The sequence below is a fragment of the Homo sapiens genome, chromosome 4 (genome assembly GCF_000001405.40).
Source record: "Homo sapiens chromosome 4, GRCh38.p14 Primary Assembly".
Classification (NCBI taxonomy): domain Eukaryota; kingdom Metazoa; phylum Chordata; class Mammalia; order Primates; family Hominidae; genus Homo; species Homo sapiens.
In genome coordinates, this window is record NC_000004.12 from 171,629,899 (window position 1) to 171,653,491 (window position 23,593).

The 23,593-nt window shown below is 37.1% G+C and overlaps 1 long non-coding RNA gene across 1 annotated transcript in view, besides 2 other annotated features; it reads right to left on the reverse strand.

The window, feature by feature from the left end:
* Positions 1–8,865, reverse strand: part of LINC02174 (long intergenic non-protein coding RNA 2174) — a 36,081-nt gene extending 27,216 nt beyond the window's left edge. The window contains exons 1-2 of the long non-coding RNA NR_147157.1: positions 8,762–8,865; positions 6,087–6,179 (exon numbers count right to left, since the gene is read on the reverse strand). This is a non-coding gene — a long non-coding RNA (long intergenic non-protein coding RNA 2174). The remainder of the gene's footprint in view (positions 1–6,086; positions 6,180–8,761) is intronic.
* Positions 20,699–20,768: an enhancer, noted in NCBI's record as "active region_22150". NCBI's record gives its function as "activates an Ori minimal core promoter by ATAC-STARR-seq in GM12878 lymphoblastoid cells {active_cell/tissue: GM12878}" and the evidence as "EXISTENCE:reporter gene assay evidence [ECO:0000049][PMID:35858748]".
* Positions 20,929–20,978: an enhancer, noted in NCBI's record as "active region_22151". NCBI's record gives its function as "activates an Ori minimal core promoter by ATAC-STARR-seq in GM12878 lymphoblastoid cells {active_cell/tissue: GM12878}" and the evidence as "EXISTENCE:reporter gene assay evidence [ECO:0000049][PMID:35858748]".

The following is a 23,593-nucleotide window of genomic DNA, read 5'->3' on the forward strand; positions in this document are numbered from 1 at the left end:
CCGCTGTCACAGACCCGCCGCTGACTTCCATCCCTCTGGATCCGGCAGGGTGTCTGCTGTGCTCCTGATCCAGCAAGGTGCCCATTGCCGCTCTCGATCAGGCTAAAGGCTTGCCATTGTTCCTGCATAGCTAAGTTCCCGGGTTCGTCCTAACTGAGCTGAACACTAGTCACTGGGTTCCACGGTTCTCTTCTGCGACCCGCGGCTTCTAATAGAGCTATAACACTCATCACGTGGCCCAAGATTCCATTCCTTGGAATCCCTGAGGCCAAGAACCCCAGGTCAGAACACGAGGCTTGCTGCCCTCTTGGAAGCAGCCCGCCACCATCTTGGGAGCTCTGGGAACAAGGACACCCTGGTAACAGTATGAGCTCGAAAATGAACATCACACAGCACAGATTTGGAGTCCAGAAGTAAACTGGCAAAAGTATATGAGGAAATTCAACAATACCTTACCAAGGTATTTTTTATTTCACATTGGTGTTAAAATTGATTAAGATAATGATAATTCAAATTTATTGACTCAATTATACAATCTATTTTCTTACTTCCTATTGCCAGATTATTCTTATGCCTTATTAAATTACGAGCAAATATGATTAACAGTATGTTCAAACCTTGGTCAGACTAAAACTTAATTTCGGTAACCCCAAATATTTCAAATATAAAACTATAAAGTGAGCCATAATTTTGTTAGTTCAGATTTGTATACATGTTTAGTGTTCATAGTAAAGATCCAATAAATTTTAAAAAGTTAAAATTAATTTGAATCCACTCTATTAATTTTTAAAACAGTCGTTTCATTTGGAAAAGTACTCAGAGAAATATTTTTGTGAACTTTATATGACTGCATATGAATTACTTCTGATCTACTTTTAGATGAAACTTCTTCCTTTTGAAGAGTATAAATTATTTTCTGAACTAGACATTTAAATACAGGAATATAAAATGATCCTTCCTCTTGACATCTGTTTAATGTGCTTACAAATAATCAAACTATTGTATTTTAGAAAGTGTTATCTCAAAACTTCCAAAAATGTAAATGGATAAGAGTCATTTTAACTGTTGAATAGTATAGTTGCATCTCTTTGCAAGCACATGTCCTACTAATAAGGCATATGGGTACCAGAGTGTCCAGAGAAATCAGAGTGAAATTTCAACAGCACCGGACAAGAACTAAAGCAGATTAATGCATTCAGACTAATGGTAGAGAAGACCCGAGTGACCACCATTGCAGCTGACGTATATGAAAGCTTTTAAAATTTCATTTCTTGTTAGTTTGATCTCTCTACATTAAAAAGGATGTGCTGGGAGGCAGTTTAAAATGAAAAGGTTCATTTATCTCTGGGCTAGAAAGTTAGAGTTACCCAATTTTACCTCTTAAAGAAAGGAAAGTGAGAAAAATTGATCGATGGTGGATCAGGCTCAAGGAATCTTAGAAATGTGTCTAAAATTGACTTGTTCCAGATCTTCTCACAGATGAAACTGACACTTTGCCTTTCACTAAAAACCTTCAGGAATTGAGGTCTAAAACAATACAACCACACTAAGATGTCATTAGCTGATTAGATCTTAATGAGTTATTTTTTCACATTGAGCTCATATTATGGTCAGAAATATTCTTCCTCAGGGAACTAATATCAGATGCTAGAATGATAAATAAATTTGCCCATTTTTAGAATTTTCTCCTTTCTATAGGTTTTCGGGAAACAGGTGGTATTCGGTCACATGTGTAAGTTCTTTGGTGGGGATTTGTGAGATTTTGGTGCATCCTTCACCTGAGCAGTGTACATTGAACCAAATTTGTAGTCTTTTGTTTTTCTTGTCCCTTAAATTATCTTCTATATAAACCTATAGCCAAAATTGGGAAGGTGAGACGTGAATGTTCTAGCTCCTTCATCTATTTCCACGGTATTTTACTGGAATATTTTCTTCCACTTATCTCTAAAATATACAGCACTGCCACATCCAGAAATACTTTATCCCATGAAAACTGCTTTCTTTCCATAATTTCAAATATTCTTTAGCCTCCTTCTATCCTGAATCTTGCCAAATATCTCCTAATGCTTTCAAATCCAAATTCCCCAAAGGTATTTGATGGGAAAAAGATCACTACTTAAAGATTTGCAAATGTATTAAATAGCATATCTATAAATATGATTTCAGGACAAAATAGAAAGAAAACATGATTTTAATCTAAGAAAAATAATGGGCCAGGCGCGGTGGCTCACGCCTGTAATCCCAGCACTTTGGGAGGCCAAAGTGGGGACAGAGTGAGACTTTGTCAAAAAAAAAAAGGAAAAAAAGTCTTATAGCAAAAGCAAAGTGTGTGTGTGTGTGTGTGTGTGTGTGTGTGTGTGTGTGTTTATTTGGAAGATGAAAGAGACAGTTGACACAGTTTTACTACCCAAATATGCATACCTATTTTACTGAATCAAGAAACATGAAGTCCTCCTAAAAGGAAATAATTTAACATGGGTCTTATCTAACCTCCATTTTTTTTTCTTTTTGGTCTCTGACAGCAAGAGCGTTGGAATCCTATCTAATATTTCATAGATGTCTCAGAGTTACTTGAGCAACAATAGTTTTTAAAATCAAGATCTAAGCTTTAATGAGCAAAATGTTATGAAAAAATAAAATATAAATACGTTTTCATGTGGTTTATGGGAAATAGGCTACGATAAACATTACAAAACCTTTTTCTTTATTATTTTTAGAAACAATCTTACAAAAACTTTCAAGTATAATATAAAGAAGTTTTTCTAAACTATTTGAGAGTAAGTTGTAGACATGATGCTCCATCACACTGAGCAAACAAGAATATGCTGTCCAACTACAGCAAAAGCATGAAGACCAGGCGATTAACATAGAAATATTACCATCATCTAATCCTGCTAATCCTCAGGTCCTCAAATTTCACCATTTGTCTACTGATGTCCATTTTAGCAAAAGAATCAAGTTCAGAGTCACATGTCATTCCAATCTCCTTTTGTCTGAAACAGTTCCTCAACATTTCCTTGGCTATCATGACCTTGACAATCTTGAGGGTTTCAGGCGGGTACAAGTAGAATGCCATTTAGTTTTGTTTTGTCTATTGTTTCCTTATGATTGATTCAGGTTATTTATCTTTAGCAGAAATATCATAGATGTTTCTATGTTCATGCGGTGGCTCACACCTGTAACCCCAGCACTTTGGGAGGCTGAGGCGGGCAGATCACCTGAGGTCAGGAGTTTGAGACCAGCCTTGCCAACATGACAAAACCTCATCTCTACTAAAAATACAAAAATTAGCTGGGTGTGGTGGTTCATGCCCGGCTACTTGGGAGGCTGAGGCAGGAGAATGGCTTGAACCCGGAAGGTGGAAAGTTGCAATGAGCCAAGGTTGTGCCACTGCACTCCAGCCTGGGTGACAGAGTGAGGCTGTCTCAAAATATATATATATATATATATATGTCTTTATGGTAGAACAACTTATTTTCTTTTGGGTATATATGCAGTAATGGGATTGCTAGGTCAAATGGTAGTTCCACTTTAAGTCCTTTGAAAAATCTCCAGACTGCTTTCCACAGTGGCTGAACTAATTTACATTCCCACCAGCAGTGTATAAGCCTTTCCTTTTCTCCTCAACTTCACCAGCATCTGTTCTTTTTTGACTTTTTAGTATTAGCTATTCTGACTGGTTTGAATGGTGTCTCATTGTGGTTTTGATTTGCGTTTCCCTAATGATTAGTGATATTGAACATTTTTTCATACACTTGTTGGCCACGTGATGTCTTCTTTTGAGAAGTGTCTGTTCCTGTCCTTTGCCCATTTTTAAATGGGGTTGTTTGTTTTTCGCTTGTTGAGTTCCTTATAGCTTCTGAATATTAGACCTTTGTCAGATGCACAGTTTACAAGTATTTTCTCCCATTCTGTAGGTTATCTGTTTACTCTGTTGATACTTTCTTTTGCTGTGCAAAAGCTGGTTACTTTAATTAGGTCTCACTGGTCCATCTTTGTTTTGGTTGCAGCTGCTTTAGGAGTCTTCATCATCAAGTCTTTGCCAAGCTGAGATGTCCAGAATTGTATAGCCTAGATATTCTGCTAGAATCTTTTTCCTTTTAGGTTTTACTTTTAAATCTTTAATCCACCATGAGTTTCTTTTTGTTTTTTGTGTAAAGTAAGGGCTCAGTTTTCAATATTCTGCATATGGCTAACCAGCTATCCCAGCAGCATTTATTGAATAGGGAGTTCTTTCCCCATTGCTTGTTTTTGGTGATGCTGTCAAATATCAGATGGTTGTAGGTGTGCAGCTTTATTTCTGGGTTATCTAATCTGTTCCATTGGTCTCTGTCCGTTTTTGTACCAGTACTGTGCTGTTTTAGTTACTATAGTCTAGTAGTATAGGTTGAAGTTGGGTTGTGTGATGCCTCCAGCTTTGTTCTTTTGGCTTAGGATTGCTTTGGCTATTCAGGCTCTTTTTTGGTTCCAAATGAATTTTAGAATGACTTTTTTCTAATTATGTGAAAAAATGTCATAGGAAGTTTGATAGAAATAGCATTGAATCTGTAAATAGCTTTGAGGAGTACGGCCAGTTTAACAATATTGATTCTTCCTACCCATGAATATGGAATTTTTTTGAGTTGTTTGTGTTTTCTTTGATTTTTTTCAGCAGTGCTTTATAATTCTCATTGTAGAGGTCTTTCAACTCCTTAGTTAGCTGTATTCAGAGGCATTTTAAGGCATTGAAGGGACATACATCAAAATAGTAAGAGCCATCTACAACAAACCCATAGCCATCATCATACTGAATGGGCAAAAGATAGAAGCATTCCCCTTGAGAACCATAACAAGACAATGATGCCCACTCTCACCACTCCTATTCAACATAATACTGGAAGTCCTAGCCAGAGCAATCAGAAAAAAGAAAGAAAGAAAAGGTATCCAAATAGGAAGCGAGGAAGTCAAAATATCTCTCTTCACAGGCAATATAATACTATACTAGAAAACCCCATAGTCTGTGCCCAAGGGCTCCTAGATCTGATAAACAACTTCAGCAAAGTTTCAGGATACAAAATCAATGTGCAAAAATCAGTAGCGTTTTTATCCACCAATAACGTCCAAGCTGAGAGCAAAATTAAACATTTAATCCCATTTACAATAGCCACCAAAGAATAAAACACTTTTTAATGTGAAACTAAAAAAAAAAGATTATAGCTACAGGTATAAGGTAAATAAGCAATTAAAATGATAAGAGCATATTAGGCCAAACTCCAGTTATATATTTGAGATTGTTAATATGATTGATGATATTTTGAAAAATTACTGCAAAAATTGATCTCCCTAAAGTAGAATTGATTATACCATTTCTGAAGAAAATTGAGAAAGTTACAAATATTATCAATGTGTCTTCCATACATTCCCTAAAGGTGTCATGAATATATATATACATACTTTCCAACATCCATAAAATTCTGTAAGCTAAATAAAATCTTAATTTAGAGAAACTTTCTATATTTTATTTCTAAATTTCTATATCCAATACTAAAATTCCCCCAAAGATAATAGTTGGGAAAAAATATGTACCACTACTTAAATATTTGCAACTGTATTAAATAGCATGCCCATACATATAATTTTAGCCTTAACTACAAATTAGCAGAAAAGCATGATTTCATTCTGAGGAAAATAATGTATGCTTGTTGCCTGTATGTATGTGTTGTTTGTGTGACTCAAGCTGAAACAAGCCCTAATGACTCCATCATTAACTCAGAGAGCTAAGCAGACTGGGGGAAGAAATTGGGAAAATAGAAATAAGGGAAAGTCCAGAGCTCCCTATCATTTGATTGAACTGAGTTTCCATTGGCAGAACAGTGTTCTTGATAGGGCCACATATATCAGAATATCAAGTAGTGTAATAATAGAGGCTTGCATAGATTCAAAGCCTTAGCAGACACTTTAGTTCCAATAATTTGATAGTCAATTAAAAATAATAATTTACTATTGTGTGAAATATTATAATGGAGACTAGTGCAGGTATCTAAATCATCTCAATTACTGTTCATTATATAATTTAATGCAAGACAGCTGGGCGTAGTGGCAAGTACCTGTAATCCCAGCTACTTGAGAGCCAGAGGTGGGAGGATTGCTTGAGATCAGTAGTTTAAGAGCAACCTGGGCAGCACAACGAGACCCCATCTCTGAAAACAAAAGTAAAAGTGAATTAGCTGGGCATGGTGGAGTGTCTGTAGTCCCAGCTACTCAGGAAGCTGAGGCAGGAGGATTGCTTGAGCCCAGGAGTTTAAGGCTGCAGTGAGCTATAGTCGCACCACTGTGCTCCAGCCTGTGTGAAAGAGCAAGACCTCAAGTATAAATAATAAATAAAAACAATAATAGTAATTTAATGTAAGAAAAATGGTAATTTGTTCTTTACAAGAATGGGAAATTAGGCAAGCATTGACATAAGTCAGTTGATAACATTCTGCTCTGTTGCTTAAACAAAGGAGTTCCAGTGTTGAAAGAGCAGAATGGTAAGAAACATAAGGAAAAACTGGAGATAGTAAAATCTGAGACCTCTAAGAAAATGATAAATTATTCTAAAAATATGTGTTTGTGTAGATTTCATATCTGCATTTAAATGTATTGAACATTTTAGATGTTTATTCTTGAAATTGAAGCTTAAAGATTCTGTGCCATGGTGGTAACAATTTTCCAGGTTTTTCTATAATATTTCTTGTTGTTGCTTTACTAATTTGAAGAAATTCTTTAAAACGGTGACTTGAAACTTCTGTTGCTTCACTCACATGAAGCAAAGACTTTGCGGCAGTCTATCATCTTTTGACTTGCTTATAATGGATATTAATATCCTAAAATTTCTTACATTCATGCAGCCTATCCTGTCATTTTTTTCCTTTATGACAGGTTTCCTGTCTTGCTTAAAAATGACTCATAAATGTTGAGGCTGCTGCTCATATTTTTGTTTCTATATTTAACACATTAATCTCTTTGGAAATCATTCCATATAGTTGATAAGGCAAGCTTTATTTTTCTAAGTGGAAAGCCTATTAAGCAAACATTATTAATTTAAAAAACAATCTTAACCACTGCATTGAAATATCCCTTTAATATATGTTATATTCCCCATATTCTTAGATATGCTCTGAGATCATGTAAATTATCTTTTTAATTTTTTATTTATCCTATAACATAATTTTAATTATAGCAGATTAATATCTTTTTATTATATTGAATCACAAGCTCTTGATCCTAGAATTCTATTATAAAGTTATATTGAAGTATCTCACCTTTATTCTGCCATAAAAACTTACAAAACATTTTAATGCTTTCCAATATGGAATTCTGATTGATTTTGAATTAAATAAAGATTTACAATAAATTTTGCAATGTGGAAAAACAAAAAGTTAAGTTTTAAAATTCTGGAACATTATAAGCCTCTCCATTATTTAACTTAAAACATTATTTTTCATTATTATTTTTTATTTTTGAGACGGAGTCTCAGTCTGTTACCCAGGCTGGAGTGCAGTGGCACCATCTCAGCTCACTACAACCTCCGCCTCTCAGTTTCAAGCAATTCTCCTGCTTCAGCCTCCCTTGAGTAGCTGAGATTACAGGCACCCGCCACCACTCTCCAGCTAATTTTTGTGTTTTTAGTACAGATGGGCTTCCACCATATTGGCCCCAAACTCTTGACCTCAGATGATCCACCCACCTCGATCTCCCAAAGTGCTGGGATTGCAGGCGTGAGCCACCACTCCCGGCAAAACATTTTTAACATAACTCTTTAAAAAGAATGAATTTAGGTATCCAAAAATTAGCTAGGCATGCCAATTTGTGTGAGAAACACATCAGATGTTAATTGTTTGGGATATTTAACATTTGAATAGGAATTAATTGTACTAAATTTTGTGTATCAATTGAAATGTCAGACTTTCATGATGAATGATTAAAACTAAAGGCACAAGTGAAAAGTCAGATTCCAATTCAAATGTGAACATGAATAGAATTCTGCAGGTTTTTATTATATATTTAATACCTAATTGATTAGTTCTCATTTTCTTTGACAGTGAGATTGAATGAATTAAATTATGGTCAATGTTATCAATGAATGCATTCATCTTAACCTTTTTTTAGTCAATTACCACTATAAGCACTATTCTTTTCTCTTTTTTTTCTATATCCAAATTTGAATTAAAAGTGTACAGAGTCAAATGTACTTAGTGTTAAATGGTAGAAAGATAACAAGTATGAAAAAGTATAAATCATAAAAGTAGCAATTATTATAGAATCCAGCACTCTAGTATGTGACATTTAAGCATCTCTCTCAAGACTTCATCATGAACAATTTATAGCCTTAACTACAAATGAAATGTCATAAATAATTGGTCATGTACCTTTGACATTTCATCTCAGATTTGGTGAATCAATTTGTAATCTGGAACATTTGAAGCCAATATCTGGGGTCTGAAATCTCAAGGGTAGTTATTTTTAATTATTTTATGGAATGTATATATTTTGCTCATTTCTTTAAACATAATAAAACAAATCCTTGACTAAAGAAAAAGAACAAAAGTTGTAATAAAGAAAGCTGCCAAACATCCTAAAGGAACTATTAACAATATTAATAATTATAGAGGTCATTTAATTTTTTCTATTAAGTGAATTAAACTTAATATGTCATTTTGTACTTCCGAGGCTTAGGGGGAAAAGCTTTGCATATTCCTGAAGAATTTTCATTACCTATAGAATATTAATTTCCACTTACGGTTCAGTTCCAAGTTACAGTGAGATAGTGCTGTCTCTTCCAAACTTTGGTATCCATTAACTCTCTTTTGTGACTGTCCTTAAATAGGCCAAGTAAACTTAGCTGAAGAAGGAAGCAAAGATATTAACAACGCACCAAAGCATCTTGCTGAGTCAAAGTCCAAGGGGATAAGAAGTCTCAAGTTAGGACTCTGGAAAAATTGGAATCAAGGAACGGATCACTATCAGAATTCCCTTTCCAACTTCCTGCTTTCTATCTCTCCGTTTAACTCACTGTACTTTCATGTAGCCAATCATATTTATTTATTTCCAATACTTGAATCAGAATATGATAGTCAAGAGTGTACATGTTTACATTTCATTACTTAAAAATAGATAACAAGTTGAGTTGAAATTTTAGTAGGATCCAAACTAAGGAACCTTCCTAATCAGACTGAGAAGGATTCTGATTGGCTCAGCTGAAGAATGCTGGCACTTCAACCAATTCATAAGGAAGGAGGCAGCTGTGGGGACATATTTCCCAAAACAATAGTGGAGGTGATTCTCTGAAAATGAGATGGAGGACAAATGAAGCTAGGAACAAAAAATAAGAAAGAGTGGGCAATATATTTTCTTTTCTTTTTCATTCCTTTCCTATTCTAGGAATATACTGTCCTATGATTTAAGATTGTCAATTTTACAAATCCAAGGAGGAACCATTATTAGAGAGGATATATGAAAAGAAAACAAACTAAAACCTCTTTGATATGCCTAAATAATTTTCTGGTAAATTGAGCTGCTTTTCTCTCAAGTTTAAGAAACAGCGTTTAGAGTTACAGAGGGTGGCTGGAAATCAATAGCTCAGAGACCTTGATAAATGAAATCAGGAAAATGAAAACCTCAAAAGGGTCAAAAGTGAACATTCTTGACCTTAAGTGGAAAATACGTCTGTATTTTCTAACCACATCAAATCTGTTCACCTACATATTACTATTTTACCACGTCGTTTATGACCACAAAGCATGCATCCTGGATCTTGCTCCATAATTCATCACTGTCTTGCTAGCTCTTTGATACTTCCTGGTAAGTTTAAATATATATTCAGTCTAGTTTTTCAGTTTTACTCAATGAGAGAGAGTAAGAGGGAGTTTGCAAGAGAACAAGAAAGTGAAAGAGAGAGAGAGAGAGACTGTGTGTGTGCACGCAAAACCACCTTTGCAAAATTATGACAGTAAGAGAAATCTGACATGTTTGGCTCCATCTTATTTCTGACCTCCAAGCTGTTCTCGGTCATTCCTGGGTTTGGCCATGCTAGCTTTGGGAGGAATTTAGTTCATAGTTTAACTTGAAAGCAAGGATGATAATAGTCCCTCCCTAAAATGAACTCCCTCTTTGCTCAGGAAACAAAAACTGCCCTTGTAAGATTAATGAAAGGCCATAAGAATAGGATTATGCGACAGGCCTGAATTCTGCTAAAATGTAGCAATAGTTTCTATAATCCTCTGCTTCTCAGGAGTTATCTAGCTAGAGGTCACAAGACTTGTGACTTTCTCAATTGTTCCTACTGATAACATCACTATTGTAGAATCTAAGATTTCTTTTTTGTTGTTGTTTTTTGAGATATTTTTCAGACTGACCCTGCCTGAACCCATGACTCATGACCCAACTGGTCCTGTGGTCCTACCCAGAAGTGGATTCAGTGCAGAGGGCCACTTCCCACAACCCTATGATTTCATCCCCAACCAATCAACAACACCCATTCCTAGCCCCCTACCCACCAAATTGTTCATAAAATCCCTAAGCTCTGAGCCTGTGCAGAGGCAGATTTCAGTAATAACTCCTTCTCCCACATGGCCAGCTTCCTGTCAGTCAAACTCTTTCTCTACTGCAATGCCATGGTGTCAGTTAATTGATTTTGCCTGTGCAGCAAACAACCTATCAGGTGACTACAAGAGCAGAATCGCCTACTCTACCATCATCAAATGCTACTTGTCAATTGGTTTTAGTGCTCACGGTGATTCATACCATAATTCACCTAGTAATTATAAAATGATTCATATAACATTTAGTATTTGAAACTTTAAAGAACCTAGTAAGACACCAACTATATGTTTCTATCAATGTGGCTGAAAGAAAAGAGCAAGCTGTATTGTGGGAGAAGTGTGCCCCTTCACTGTTCACACAGCTTGGGGACACTGTTTTTAAAATATCTAGAGTTGGTATGGCTGAAATACCGTTTATAGTCTCTCTTCCTATCTTTCACACATGCTACCTCTATCCTTTTACACCACTTTCTTCCTTTCTCTTTTTCACTTCCTTGCTTATTTTTGAAGAAATCATTAGGTCAATCTCCAGTTTCACCTAAATGACAGTATCAGTCATCTTGAGCAGGCCAGAAAATAATATTGTCATCTTCCATGTGTCCTACCAAATGTAATGCCTTTAGCATCTGCTTTGAGGTTTGACAGAAAAATAAAATAAAAATAAAGTAAAATAAAAACACACACACAGAAGATTCCCTCTTCCAAACTCTCTGAACTACAATGAAAGCTTGTCTCAGTCCAAATTCTGCCATACTCATAAACATATAAGAGGCACAAAATATGGGGCCCAGGTTCTGGAGCCAGCTGGTTTGTGTGCAAAACCTGACTCAGTCAATTATTATATGTGTGACCTTTGGAAATTCACTAAGGTTCCCTGGGTCTTAGTTTCTTCAACTATGATTATCATGCCTACCTTGAGTTATGGTGAAGGCAAATGAGTTGATATATGTAAAGCCTTTAGCACAATGCCTGGAAGACAGTGAGCACTCAATAAATGCTGATCATTTCTATAAGAGGTACTATAGGTTGAAGGCTAAGGACCCAGGCTCTGGAGTCAGCTGTCAGGCCCCGAAGCCTAGTCTGCCTCTCAAGTAGCTGCATAGCCTTAGGCAAATTATTTAGTAGGTCAAACTGTTTTCAGATCCCAAATTATTGTTTTTTGTAATCCTTAGGGGTCAACAAGAACTGCAAGAGACTTTTCCACTATGTACATAAAGACAGAACTGGCCCACCAAGGAGAACAAATATTCCTGTTCCCCTTCCTGTTATCTCATTATCCTTTACAGGAACCACAGATGAACAGACCGTTTTTCAAGATAGTGAGTGTCTCCAATTATTTAAAATCCAAAGAACATTATTTACAATCAATTTAGGTTCTAGATCCTATCTTTCTCCCTAGTAATCATTTATTGCCCCTCAATGGAATTCTTCGTAGTCCTTCTCCCACAACTTGTTTTACAACGATCCAAGTGCCCATTCTTTCTGTAACCTCAAGATGATACATAAGCTCCTGTACCTCATTGGGAAGTTGCGTCTTCATTCTGATGGCTCCTGTGTAAACATGTTAATTTGTATGCCTTTTCTTCGGTTTTTTAAAAAAGTTCAAATAATATCCAAAAAGTTAGCCATCACAGTTATACATTTAATAAATCCTTCCTTGTCTTTATTCCACCTTTAAACTTCCTAAATTACCTTGGTTTTCTTCTCCGAAAGTTTTAATTACTTTCCTTTATAGTTAAGGTTTTCAAATTTTGTGGTTACATACTTTGGTGGTGTAAGGTACATGGATGTGCTTTGGTCAAGCAATAGGCGGAGGCAGATATCCAGGCCTTCATGACTTATCGAGTTTGGCACGCAGGTGCACACCTCCACTTGTTATATAACCTCTATGAGTTTATAATTGGCTCTGAGCCACTGTTGTTTGTAAAAGGTGTAATTGCCCTGCTAACGCTGTACAGGGGCTCTTGGGGCTCAGCTGGGCTCAGCATGGCTTGACATGTTGGGCTCGCTGGTGCCCAGAGAGAGAGAACCAGAGCTGTCCATCTTGCAGACGGACATAGGGGAGCCACAGCATGGCTCACGCTGGTGCCCAGAGAGAAAAGAGTTAAGCTGCTGACCCAGAAGGCAAGGGAGAGCTGGCCATGCAGCTGTAGGTGTGGGGGTGGCAGGAGCCACAGAGCCAGAGCAAACAGCTGAGACAAAGGTGGACAATGTGAAAAGAGCTAATGAGAAAGCTGATAATGAAAGCTGCTGCTAAATAAAAACCATATTCACCTGCCTACAGCCCTCCGCGTGTTCTTTCTGACCATCCACCCACTCCCCTCAAACTTCAGCATAGGCTGGACCTGGACCCCGGGATCTAACAGGTGGGTTTATTTGTCATTCATTAACAGGTCACTAACTGGGCTCTTCCAGTGAGGGGATTCCTATACTGAAACTCAAAAAATTTCTTCCTTTTGGTGGTAGGAAGAGTGGATAATTTCCAGAATTTTATTATGTAAACCAAGAATAAAATTCTAAGTGCCTCGACCAACTGAATGGACCTCCCTCTTGGGCAAGAGGACCCAAAGAAACCTGAAAAACTAGTTCAGGCCATGACAGAAATGGAGGCCAGGCATATCTCATTACACCCTCCTCTCTTAGGAGTTCAGGCACATCTGACCAGCACTAACATTGAAATAGAGCTCTTCAGACTGACAAAACAGATTCTTTGTAGCAATAAGCTAGCAAATTTCAACCTGACTCTAGTAGAGCATCACATGACAGCAGGCCCTGAAGGAAATCAAAGTATTTACACCAAAATATATTTCTTTGACCTATTTTGGAATGACTCTGCACAGCTGTCTCTTGTGGGGGAACTTTGCATTCTGTTGAGAATCTCCTTCACTTACTAGCTCACTTCTGGAAAGGCTGGCACCCTTTAAATATCTGAATAGGAAACATTTGCTCTAAATAGAAAACTTTGCTCCCCTGAGCTCTGAACCTTTGGGGAGGCAGATTTGAGTGATAGCTCCATCTCCCACATGGCCAGCTTCCTGTCAATTAAACTCTTTCTCTACCACAATGCCATGGTCTCAGTTAACTGATTTTGCCTGTGCAGTGGGCACAAAGAACCTATCAGGTGATTACAAGAGCAGAATCACCTGCTCTACCATCATCAAATGCTACTTGTCAATTGGTCTTAGTGCTCATGATGATTCATATCATAATTCACATTGTAATACATAAAATGATTCATATAACATTTAGTACTTGAAACTTTAGTACTTGAAACTGAGTGGCCACCTGTGAGATTTCATCTGTATAACAAAAATGTTGTTCTCCACAACCCCTTATCTTAACCCAGACACTACTTCCTATTGATTCCAGGTCTTTAGATAATAACTTAACTCTTTCAACCAATCAGAAAATCTTTGAATCCCCCTACAAACTGGAAGCCCCCACTTCAAGTTGTCCTGCCTTTCCAGACTGAACTCACATGTACTGATTGATATCGTATGTCTTCCTAAAACATATAAAACCAAACTGTAACCTCACGAAGTCAGTAGATCCAGACCATCCTGGCTAACATGATGAAACCCCGTCTCTATTAAAAATATAAAAATTAGCCGGCTTGGTGACGGGCGCCTGTAGTTCCAGCTACTCGGGATGCTGAGGCAGCAGAATGGCGTGAACCTGGGAGGTGGAGCTTGCAGTGAGCTGAGATTGTGCCACTGCACTCCAGCCTGGGCGACACAGCGAGACTCCGTCGCAAAAAAAAAAAAAAAAAAAAAAAAAAAAAAAAAATATATATATATATATATATATATATATAAAATATATATATATATATATATATAAAATACATATATATATAATCTAACCACCTTGGGCATATGTTCTGAGGACCTCTTGAGACTTTGCCTTGGGCCTTGGTCACTCATATTTGGCTCAGAATAAACCTCTTTAAATATTTCAGAGTTTGACTGTTTTTATCAACTGCTGAATTAAAAAGTCACAAATCTATAAATTTAGAAAAAAGGGTTTTATTTCTAAAAGTGGGTATCATAGCCTGAAGGCAGGAAGAGAAGCCTCCAACTGAAACCGAAAAGCAAGCGCTTCAAGGGAGGGGCAAAGGGAACAGGAATTTAAACTGAGTGAGGTAGCTAAGTTTACATATTCAACAGATTATAGGAGGTACTATGAATATTCACAGGGGGTGGCGTGCACATGCATAGTAGGCTAACATGTACGCAATATGCATCCCATGTTCACCTTGGGGACAGAGACTTAACATTTAAATGTATTACTATTAGGCTGTTTACTTGTAAAGCCCTTTGGGTGCAGTCTCTGTGCTCTGTGAACTGACTGCCAGAACCACTTCCTGGCCAGTGGTCTCTTACAGGGAAGAAATACTGATCAGTTGTTGTGCCCAACCACAGAAAGGGAAAGGCAGGGTCAGTGCCCAACCAAGAAAGCCTGGTTGATATTCGTAGTGGAATCTTTTTCAAGGGGTTGGTTTCTGTTTAGCCCTTAGGTGAAAAAACAAAACTAATAATGGCAGTTAATGAGAGAGGAGTACAACGAGGCGTATTCAACCCTTCCTCCTGTGGGGGCTGGAACTCAGTATTTTTTCTTGGCCAGGTGGGGTATCCAAGGGCTCCCCTTGGACAAAAGATGGTCTGTTCAGTTGATTGGGGGCTTAGAATTTTATTTTTATGTATCATATTTTATCTTTCTTGAGCTCATTTTATTTAGATATTTGGCATCATTTATCAATACTGTTTGTCTCTTATCTTTCACATTTTCTTGTTTCTCTGATTTTATTTGGTGTTTTGGGAACATTCTGTGATTATGTTTTCTAAACTCCCTGGCAATCTTTTAATTTTATTTTAGACACTTATTTATAATTTTCTGGATCTTTGGTTTATTACCTGATTTTTCTTTTTTATTTAAAAAATGGATGCCATATCTCTTAAATTTCTCTGGGCATACACATTAGAATGTCTTTTTGTATTTTGCTTTTGTTCTACATTCTTTTTTGTCACTTGTATTGCTTGTGTTCTGGGGCAATTTTTCATTGTGATGGCTTAAGATGTTGAGAGAATATTTTGTTCTCCATTCATATCTAAGAATGAGGAAATAAAATGCTGGTTGGCAGCTCTGGGTATGCTACTGTGCTCATTTCTTGTTCATCTTTGCATTAGTGGAGTAGAACTAGAAGCCAGGGTTAAGAAGGAAGGCCAGGCTGGGCACGGTGGCTCACGCCTGTAATCCCAGCACTTTGGGAGTCCAAGGCAGGCCGATCATGAGGTCAAGAGATCAAGACCATCCTGGCTAACAGGGTGAAACCCCGTCTCTACTAAAAATAAAAAAATACAAAAAAATTAGCCGGACATGGTGGCGGGCGCCTTTAGTCCCTGCTACTCTGGAGGCTGAGGCAGGAGAATGGCGTGAACGCAGGAGGCGGAGCTTCCAGTGAGCCGAGATCGCGCCACTGCACTCACTCCAACCTGGGTGACACAGCAAGATTCTGTCTCAAAAAAAAAAAAAAAAAAAAAAAAAAAAAGAAGGAAGGCCAAAGCCAGTACTCATCACCTTCCCCTGGGACCTGCACATTCTCCTAGATGAACCCTTAAGATACCAGCTTGGGGGCTTGGGGGCTACAGCTGGGATACCATGTGGTGTGTGAATCTCAGAGACAGGAAAGTAAACTCTCTTATGAAAAGTTTCAGTTAATCCCTTTGAATTTAGCTCCATGTTTTATTTCTCCTCAGTCATACTTTGCATTCTTGAGTGTTTAGATTCTAGATTTCTGCAGGTAAAATCAGCTTCTTTCTGAGCTGCCTCACACTTTAGAAACATTCTAGGCTACTTCTTTGACTGCCTGGCACAGTACTCACTACTTTTAAGTCCAATTACCGCGATCCAAAATTAAATTGAAATTGCTTATGTGGTCTTTTGCCTGATAGTTTTGTTCATCAGAAGTTTATACCTTTCAGTGGCTTCCTGTTATTTTATTGGCATTTTAAAAGAGAAAAACAATTGGTGGTGATCAATTCATTTTATTTACCCAGGCCATCTAAACTATGGGTAGGACATTTCCCTATGCCAGAGACTTTAGGACCTTTAAAAGGCTGACCAGACTATTTCCCACGCACTATAATAGTTGTTCCAGTATGAATCTTTTAAAAATTGCATCAATTATAAAAACATTTGCATTATCCCATCAAATGCGACAAAAAAATTGTGATTAAATGCATTTGTCTTTCTTATATACTACTACTTCAAATAGCAAAGTAGGAATGAGATTTCTTAATGCCTATCTCATCTCCATCTTTTGTAAATATGAGATAGTATGCATTTTTTTCCAAAAGTTTTTAAGATAAATTAAACAATGCAAGGAAACATCCAGCTTAAGATTTAGTACACTGTAAGCCTCTAACAAATGTCTATTCTCTAGCCATCTATTACAATCCCAACTAGAGAAACAGATTTATATTTATTAAGACTTTGAAATAAAGGTTTATGTTTAACAGATGTCTGGTAGCTGCAATTCTGAAATAGTCAGCTGTCTCTAACTTCATCCAAATATGAGATAATTTGAGAATAATTTAAACAGCCAGGGCGTTAGGATCCTTTGAGATAATATTGCACCTCACAGGCTGGTTTTACTGACTTACTATATGCAGAGGTTGTCTGCCAAGTGCATGACTTTGATGCGACAGAATGTCCACACATGTCAGACAAAGATTTATTACTCAAGGACAGGCAGCACAGATAACTGGAAGTGTAGAACCCATGGTGAGCTGGTCTCCCAAGAAAGCTGCCGAGGGAATAGAATCCCACTGGGTGCTTCCCATGTTGCACGGCAGCTGAGGGACACTGAAAGCACTCCAGCCAACTGTAAGGTGCCACCGGGCTCACTAAGTGCAAGCGCCATAGAACATCTTATTCTAAGAAAATGAGGACACAGCCCAGGTTGTTCCGGACAGTTCTTCCTTGTTTCAGCATGTTGCACTCTCAGTACATTCTGACTGAGAAATGCAAGCAAGAGAGGGAAGATTTGGGTTAGCTAAGTACATCCAACTGGGGACTTTTCCTCCTGGGATATCATTAGAAAGCTATGCACCCCACCCGACTGTGAAAATCTATTGGTCATTGTCTATAATGGAATTCATTGATTAAAAACAAGTTTTATCTTCAACACATTTTGCAATGTATTTTAAAATAATAAATCGGCAATACACAATTTACACATGTATGCAGTGTGTAAAGACTATAATTACTTAGTAATATTATTTTCAAGTCTTCATATAAAAGAAAATAAAAATAGAAACTTTAATTCAAAAGTTGAATAATTAAATCTGTAATATACTTTTATTTGTTTTCTGTCTTTTATGAGGAATCAAAACAAGTTTTGGCTTGTTGTACTACTTGAATGAGAAAATATTATTAAAATGAGTGCAATCATAAAACTGTTCTCAAAATTATAGAAACACAAGCAGGTAAGGAACACTATTCCGGAAGGCAAAAAATGGATATAGCAAGCAATAAGAGTTTTAATTATTAGTATTTCTCTAAGAAGAGATCATGGATTATCACCAAGAAACTAAAACAAATGAAATACATTGCGTGCAATGAAATATCAATTTCTGATGTTTGCCTACTGCTTAAGAAAGGTATTAGAATAAAACAAACTGATGTATATCACAAAAGAGAAATAGTTTATTTATTGTTATGTTTTCTTTATTTGTATTTTTTGTTTTAGTAATTTTATACTGTAGAAGTGCTTTTGAGGATATCTTTTTTTTTCTTTACGAAGTAATTAAACTTATCTATTGTACAGCATGGTGAATATTGTTAATAATAGAGTACATTTCAAAATTGCTAACAGAATAAATTTCAAATGTTCTCACCACAAAAAAATGATAAGTATTTTAGGTTATGAATATATTAATTAGCTTGATTTAATTATTTCATGTTGTAGTCATAAATCATATTACTTTGTAATCCATCAATATATAAAAATATAAATTGTCAATGTGTAATAAAATTTTCTTAAAAAAGTTTTTAAACCTGCTTAAAAAAATAAGTGATTAAACTTGTTTAAGCTCTATCCTCTTTCTCGTGATCCACCATCATCTCAGGAAAAGAGATTTAAAAGCTGTATATGAAAATAAAGCACAAAAAAGCAAAAGGAAATGCAAAATGAATAAATATAAAAACATGTTGATTGAAGAGAATTTTAAAAGAGAAAGAAAAATTCTAATAGAATTATATAATAAAGCAGTGATGAGATAAATAAAATAACAAATAATTTATAAATCTATTCCTCTACTAAAATGTACATATAAAATCCTTATCTAGGTGCAGTTATGTTTTTTAAATATAACAATAAAAATAATGTTTGTGCACAGAATTTAGTAAGATATATGCCATTCAAAACCAACAGTAGACTATGATGCTTTATATGATTTCCATTTCTCTTAAGAAGTTAAACATTATAGGCTGGGCTCATGCCTGTAGTACCAGCACTTTGGGAAGCCAAGGCTGGCAGATCACTTGAGTTTGAGACTAGCCTGGTCAACACAGCAGAACTCCTCCTCTACTAAAAATACACAAATTAGCTGGGCATGGTGGCACATGCCTGGAATCCCAGCTATCTGGGAGGCTCAGGGTCTCAGGCAGGAGGACTGCTTGAACCCAGGAGGCGTAGGCAACTGTGAGCTGAGACGGTGCCACTGCATTCCAGCCCGGGCGACAGAGTGAAACTCTATCTCAAAAAAAGAAAAGAAGAAAAATAAAGAAGTTAAACACTGAAGAGTCTTCTAAGTATTTAGAAACGGCCAATTCAAAAGTGCTGATAATTTCTAACTTCAGCCTCTGGGATTCCCTGTTCAGGTTGAGCTGTATAAAGATGCATGTATATTTTTTTGCCAGCTGCTCTTCAAATGATAAGTGATGCCTTTTAATTACATTTTACATGGTAATTAATTTAAAATACCCATGGAAATTCTTCATCTTGGAATCCCTCTTCAGGCAGCGCCCAGATGCCCCAGGCTTTCAGCACTTTACTCCAGTTTCCAAAATATTCTTAAAGTACCTAAGGTAATAGAGAGTTTTGAAAATATTCCAAGCAGCTAGAAAATAAAAACAGCCATTTGCCGAATGAACAATAAAAGAGCAACACATATGTTTACACTTTTGAAATAAAGTAATACTTTTCATTATAAACACATGCAAATAGAACACAAAGAAATAGTACAATTTTTGAGTTATCTGAATATTTAGCTATTTTACAGCAGCCTCAATACAAGAAAGCCATCATCTTCAGTAGATGCTTTGATTCCACAGGGCCGTAACTGTAATTTTCATTTTGGGCCAGAGAATTTTTTCTAAAGAAAGCATACTTTTATTTATTTACAATTTAAATAATTACATCATAATTTTACTTCCTATTTGTATTTTATTGCACATTTTAATCTGCTGCCATTTTGTTGACATTAATCTGAAAGAAGGACAAGATTGCCAAATCTGAATGCATTATATTGATCGTGCATCTTATCAGTTCACAGAGCAACTCCGGGTGAGGTCGGTGAGAGCAACTTGCCTTGGCAGGGACAAGTACATTATCACTGGCATTGCTGTAAGTCCTGACACATAGTAATAATAACAGCAGATCAACTTTTATTCTGTTTTATTATTGATGTTGAAGTCTCTGCAGGTAGTGCCTTCTCTTATTTTTTGCATCTAAGTTTCTGGGATTTTCTGCATCCTTACTGCCCTGCTGTCAGCGAAAACCAAACTATTTAATAATATTAATAATAAAGTTTGCACATGTCAAAAGCAAGCTTTGACTTCACACTAAATCCAAAATGAGAAAAATCTTTTTCTCTAGGGAGAAAACATTTTCCCTGCAGAAGTCCATATGCACAAGATGCAGCCTCTAAGAAGTAACCAGGAAAAGCTGGACATTCCATACCTCATATGAAAACTTGAAGTATGATTCTGGAATGGAGACATTTAATACATTTTGTATTTACTAGTGATCAAAATTAATGTTTACAGGGAGACTTAAAGATGGCTGCCCAGAAGCACAGGACACTCCCCTCCTCCACAAAGAAGACACAAAATAGCCAATGTAGATAATCACACTTTGACTAGAGCATCTAAGAGAGAATGCTGGAGCTCAGCAGAGAAGTGACAGGAAACAGCTATGGCTCTGAAGGAGGAGGTAAGGCAGAGGGCCTGGCCAGGAGCAGCTGGGAGCCCAAAGAGGCTTCCCAGTGAGGGAAAATGATAAGTGAGTGACCCCTGGTGGTCCACATTCCCACTGTGAACTCTTGCACACGGCCACAGCCATCTGACCAGCAGAGCTCACCACTTAGGGACTGATGATTGCCCCACACTGCCCACCGTAGCCTGAGCCCTTGTGCATGACCTGCAGGCCTCAAGACTGACAGGCCCAAGTGACCTGGTGCTGAGCCCTCTCCCTGAGCCCAAGCATGCCGCCCAAGACCCTGGAAATTGCCCCATTCTTGTTCACCACAGCCTATGCCCATGAACATCAGATGGGGGGTAGGAGATGCCTAAGGACAGGACTGCCCAGTTTGGCACTGTTCCCCTAGTGCCCAAGCCTGCCACCTTGGGGACCTGGGAATTGATCAATGTTTTTGGACACCACAGTGCATGCGTATGCACCAGGGAATCTAGAACACGCCCAGAAAACCTTCTGGCAGTGGTCAAGCATGCCGTCAGGTCTGGGAACCTCTCTGGCCGGTCCACCATGACTGGCATCTGTGCACCCCTCTCAGGAGCCTGAGGACAGGCCCATCCAACCTGCTCCCACCACTGCTGCTAGCACCCACCTGCACAAGCTCTACCTGGAAGCCTGAGGACTGGCCTGTCCAGCTGGTTGCAGCCACCACTAACACCAGCGCATAGTGCCTGGGAGCCTGAGGGTTGTCCAGCTACTGACATTACACATGCCATGCACGTTGCTTAGGGGCCTGAAGACTCACCCTCCTGCCCAGGTCACTGCTGCTGCTACCAGCACAAAAGCAAACTAACTGGAGGCCCAAAAATCAGCCTGCCTGAAACCAGTAACATCAGTTCCCACAGACACTTCCCTGGGGACCCAAGGACAGGCAAACTCAGCCTACTGATCCTAACACTGGGGCCCGAGGACTGGCCCATGTGGCATCCTTATTCTCAGCAAAACCTCGCCATAGCCTCCACTAACAACTACAGCCTAAGCCACTGAGGAAAGCACAAACACTACTGTCCCTGTTTACAGCTGAGAAACATCATATGGAGACTACACTTCACACACCCAGAACCAAAGCTAAAGTGCCCTACCCAACCAACACCACAGATACAGCCACAGGAAAAAATCTTCCCCTATGACAGTCAGCCTCCAAAATTGGAAGAAGCAACGGTTATACCAGATGCACAGATATCAATGTAAGGATGAAAGAAATGTAAAAAAGCAAGGAAAGATGACACCTCCAAAGAAACAATAATTCTCCAGCAACAGATTCCAATGAAAAAGAAAATTATGAAATGGTGAAAAATGAATTTAAAATAATAATATTAAGGGAGCTCAGTGAGATATAAGAGAACACAGATAATACAAAGAAATCAGAAAAACAACTCAGGATATGAATAAGAAATTTATGAAAGGAATAGATAGATAATCATGAAGAAGAATCAAACAGGTATCCTAGAAAGGAAGAATTTAATGAATCAAATAAAAAATACAATCAAGATCTTCAACAATAGACTAAATCATGAAGAAGAAAGAATTTCAGAACTTGAAGACAGGTCTTTGGAAATAGCCCAGTCTGACCAAAAAGAAAAAAAAGAAAGAAAATAAATAAAAAGAATGAAGAAAGCCTATGTGTTATATGGGACACGATAAAGTTAGAAAATATTACAAATTTGGGTGTTCCAGAAGATGAAGAGAACACCAATGACATAGAAAAGGTATTTAACAAAATGATAGCTGAAAACTTTTAAATCTCGCAAGAGATTTAGACATCCAGGTGCAGGAAGCTCAGAGATCGCCAAATAGATACACCTTTGTTTTTTTTCCCTGACATGTAATAGACAAAATGTCAAAATTAAAAACAGAATCCTAAAAAGAGTGAGAGAAAAGTGTCTAGTCACATATAAGAAAACCCTTCTGTGAGATAAGACATACTTCACCCCATTAAAAATATTTATATACTCAGAAAGAACCAAAATCACCTAAATATGGTATGATAAAGCTGAAATACATTTCCTCATTGACAATGACTGCGCTCTGTACAATAATATCATAGTGACTTCCACTAAATATTTGGTTTTGTGTAGTACAAGTAAATATTTAAATGTCCAAGTGATTAAAAAATTAAATGGCTGATTTAGTTACACTTCATTTTTAAAAAGATATTGTCATTTCTTTCTTTCCATACTTCCACTAAGAATATTTTGTATTCTCTTCCAATTACAAAAAAAGTTCTTATGTAAGGTTTTGAATTATATTTTAAAATGTCTATCTGAGATGTCACAGTGTTTGAGGATCAAAAGCTTAGTGTTTGTGATCAAACTGCCCAATTCTGAATTCCAACTCTGCCATTCATTTACTGGGCAAACTTGAAAAATTGTTTCACTGTTTTTGCTGTCTTCTTTAAAATGACAATAATATAATAATAGGACTATTCATAGGACTGTTTTGAGTATTTAATAAAATGTGTAAAAGCTATGCATAGTGTCTGGTACATATCAGACATTCAATAAAGATTGCCTATTTTCATTGTCTTTCTTTCTCTCTTTCTCTCTCTCTCTCGCTCTTGCTCTCTCTCTCTCTCTCTGCCTCTCCCTTATGAGCTTTACCTTTGCTAACCCTTTCACAGGAACAAGTGGCTAGTTGTTCACTTTAGTTCTTTTTTATCCTATAAATTCAATATTATTTTGTTGTAATTAACATATCTTTGTTTAGATTTAACTTTACGTTTATCAATTTATTTGTTTGTTTTTTTAATTTAAGATCATACTGCTGGGACTAT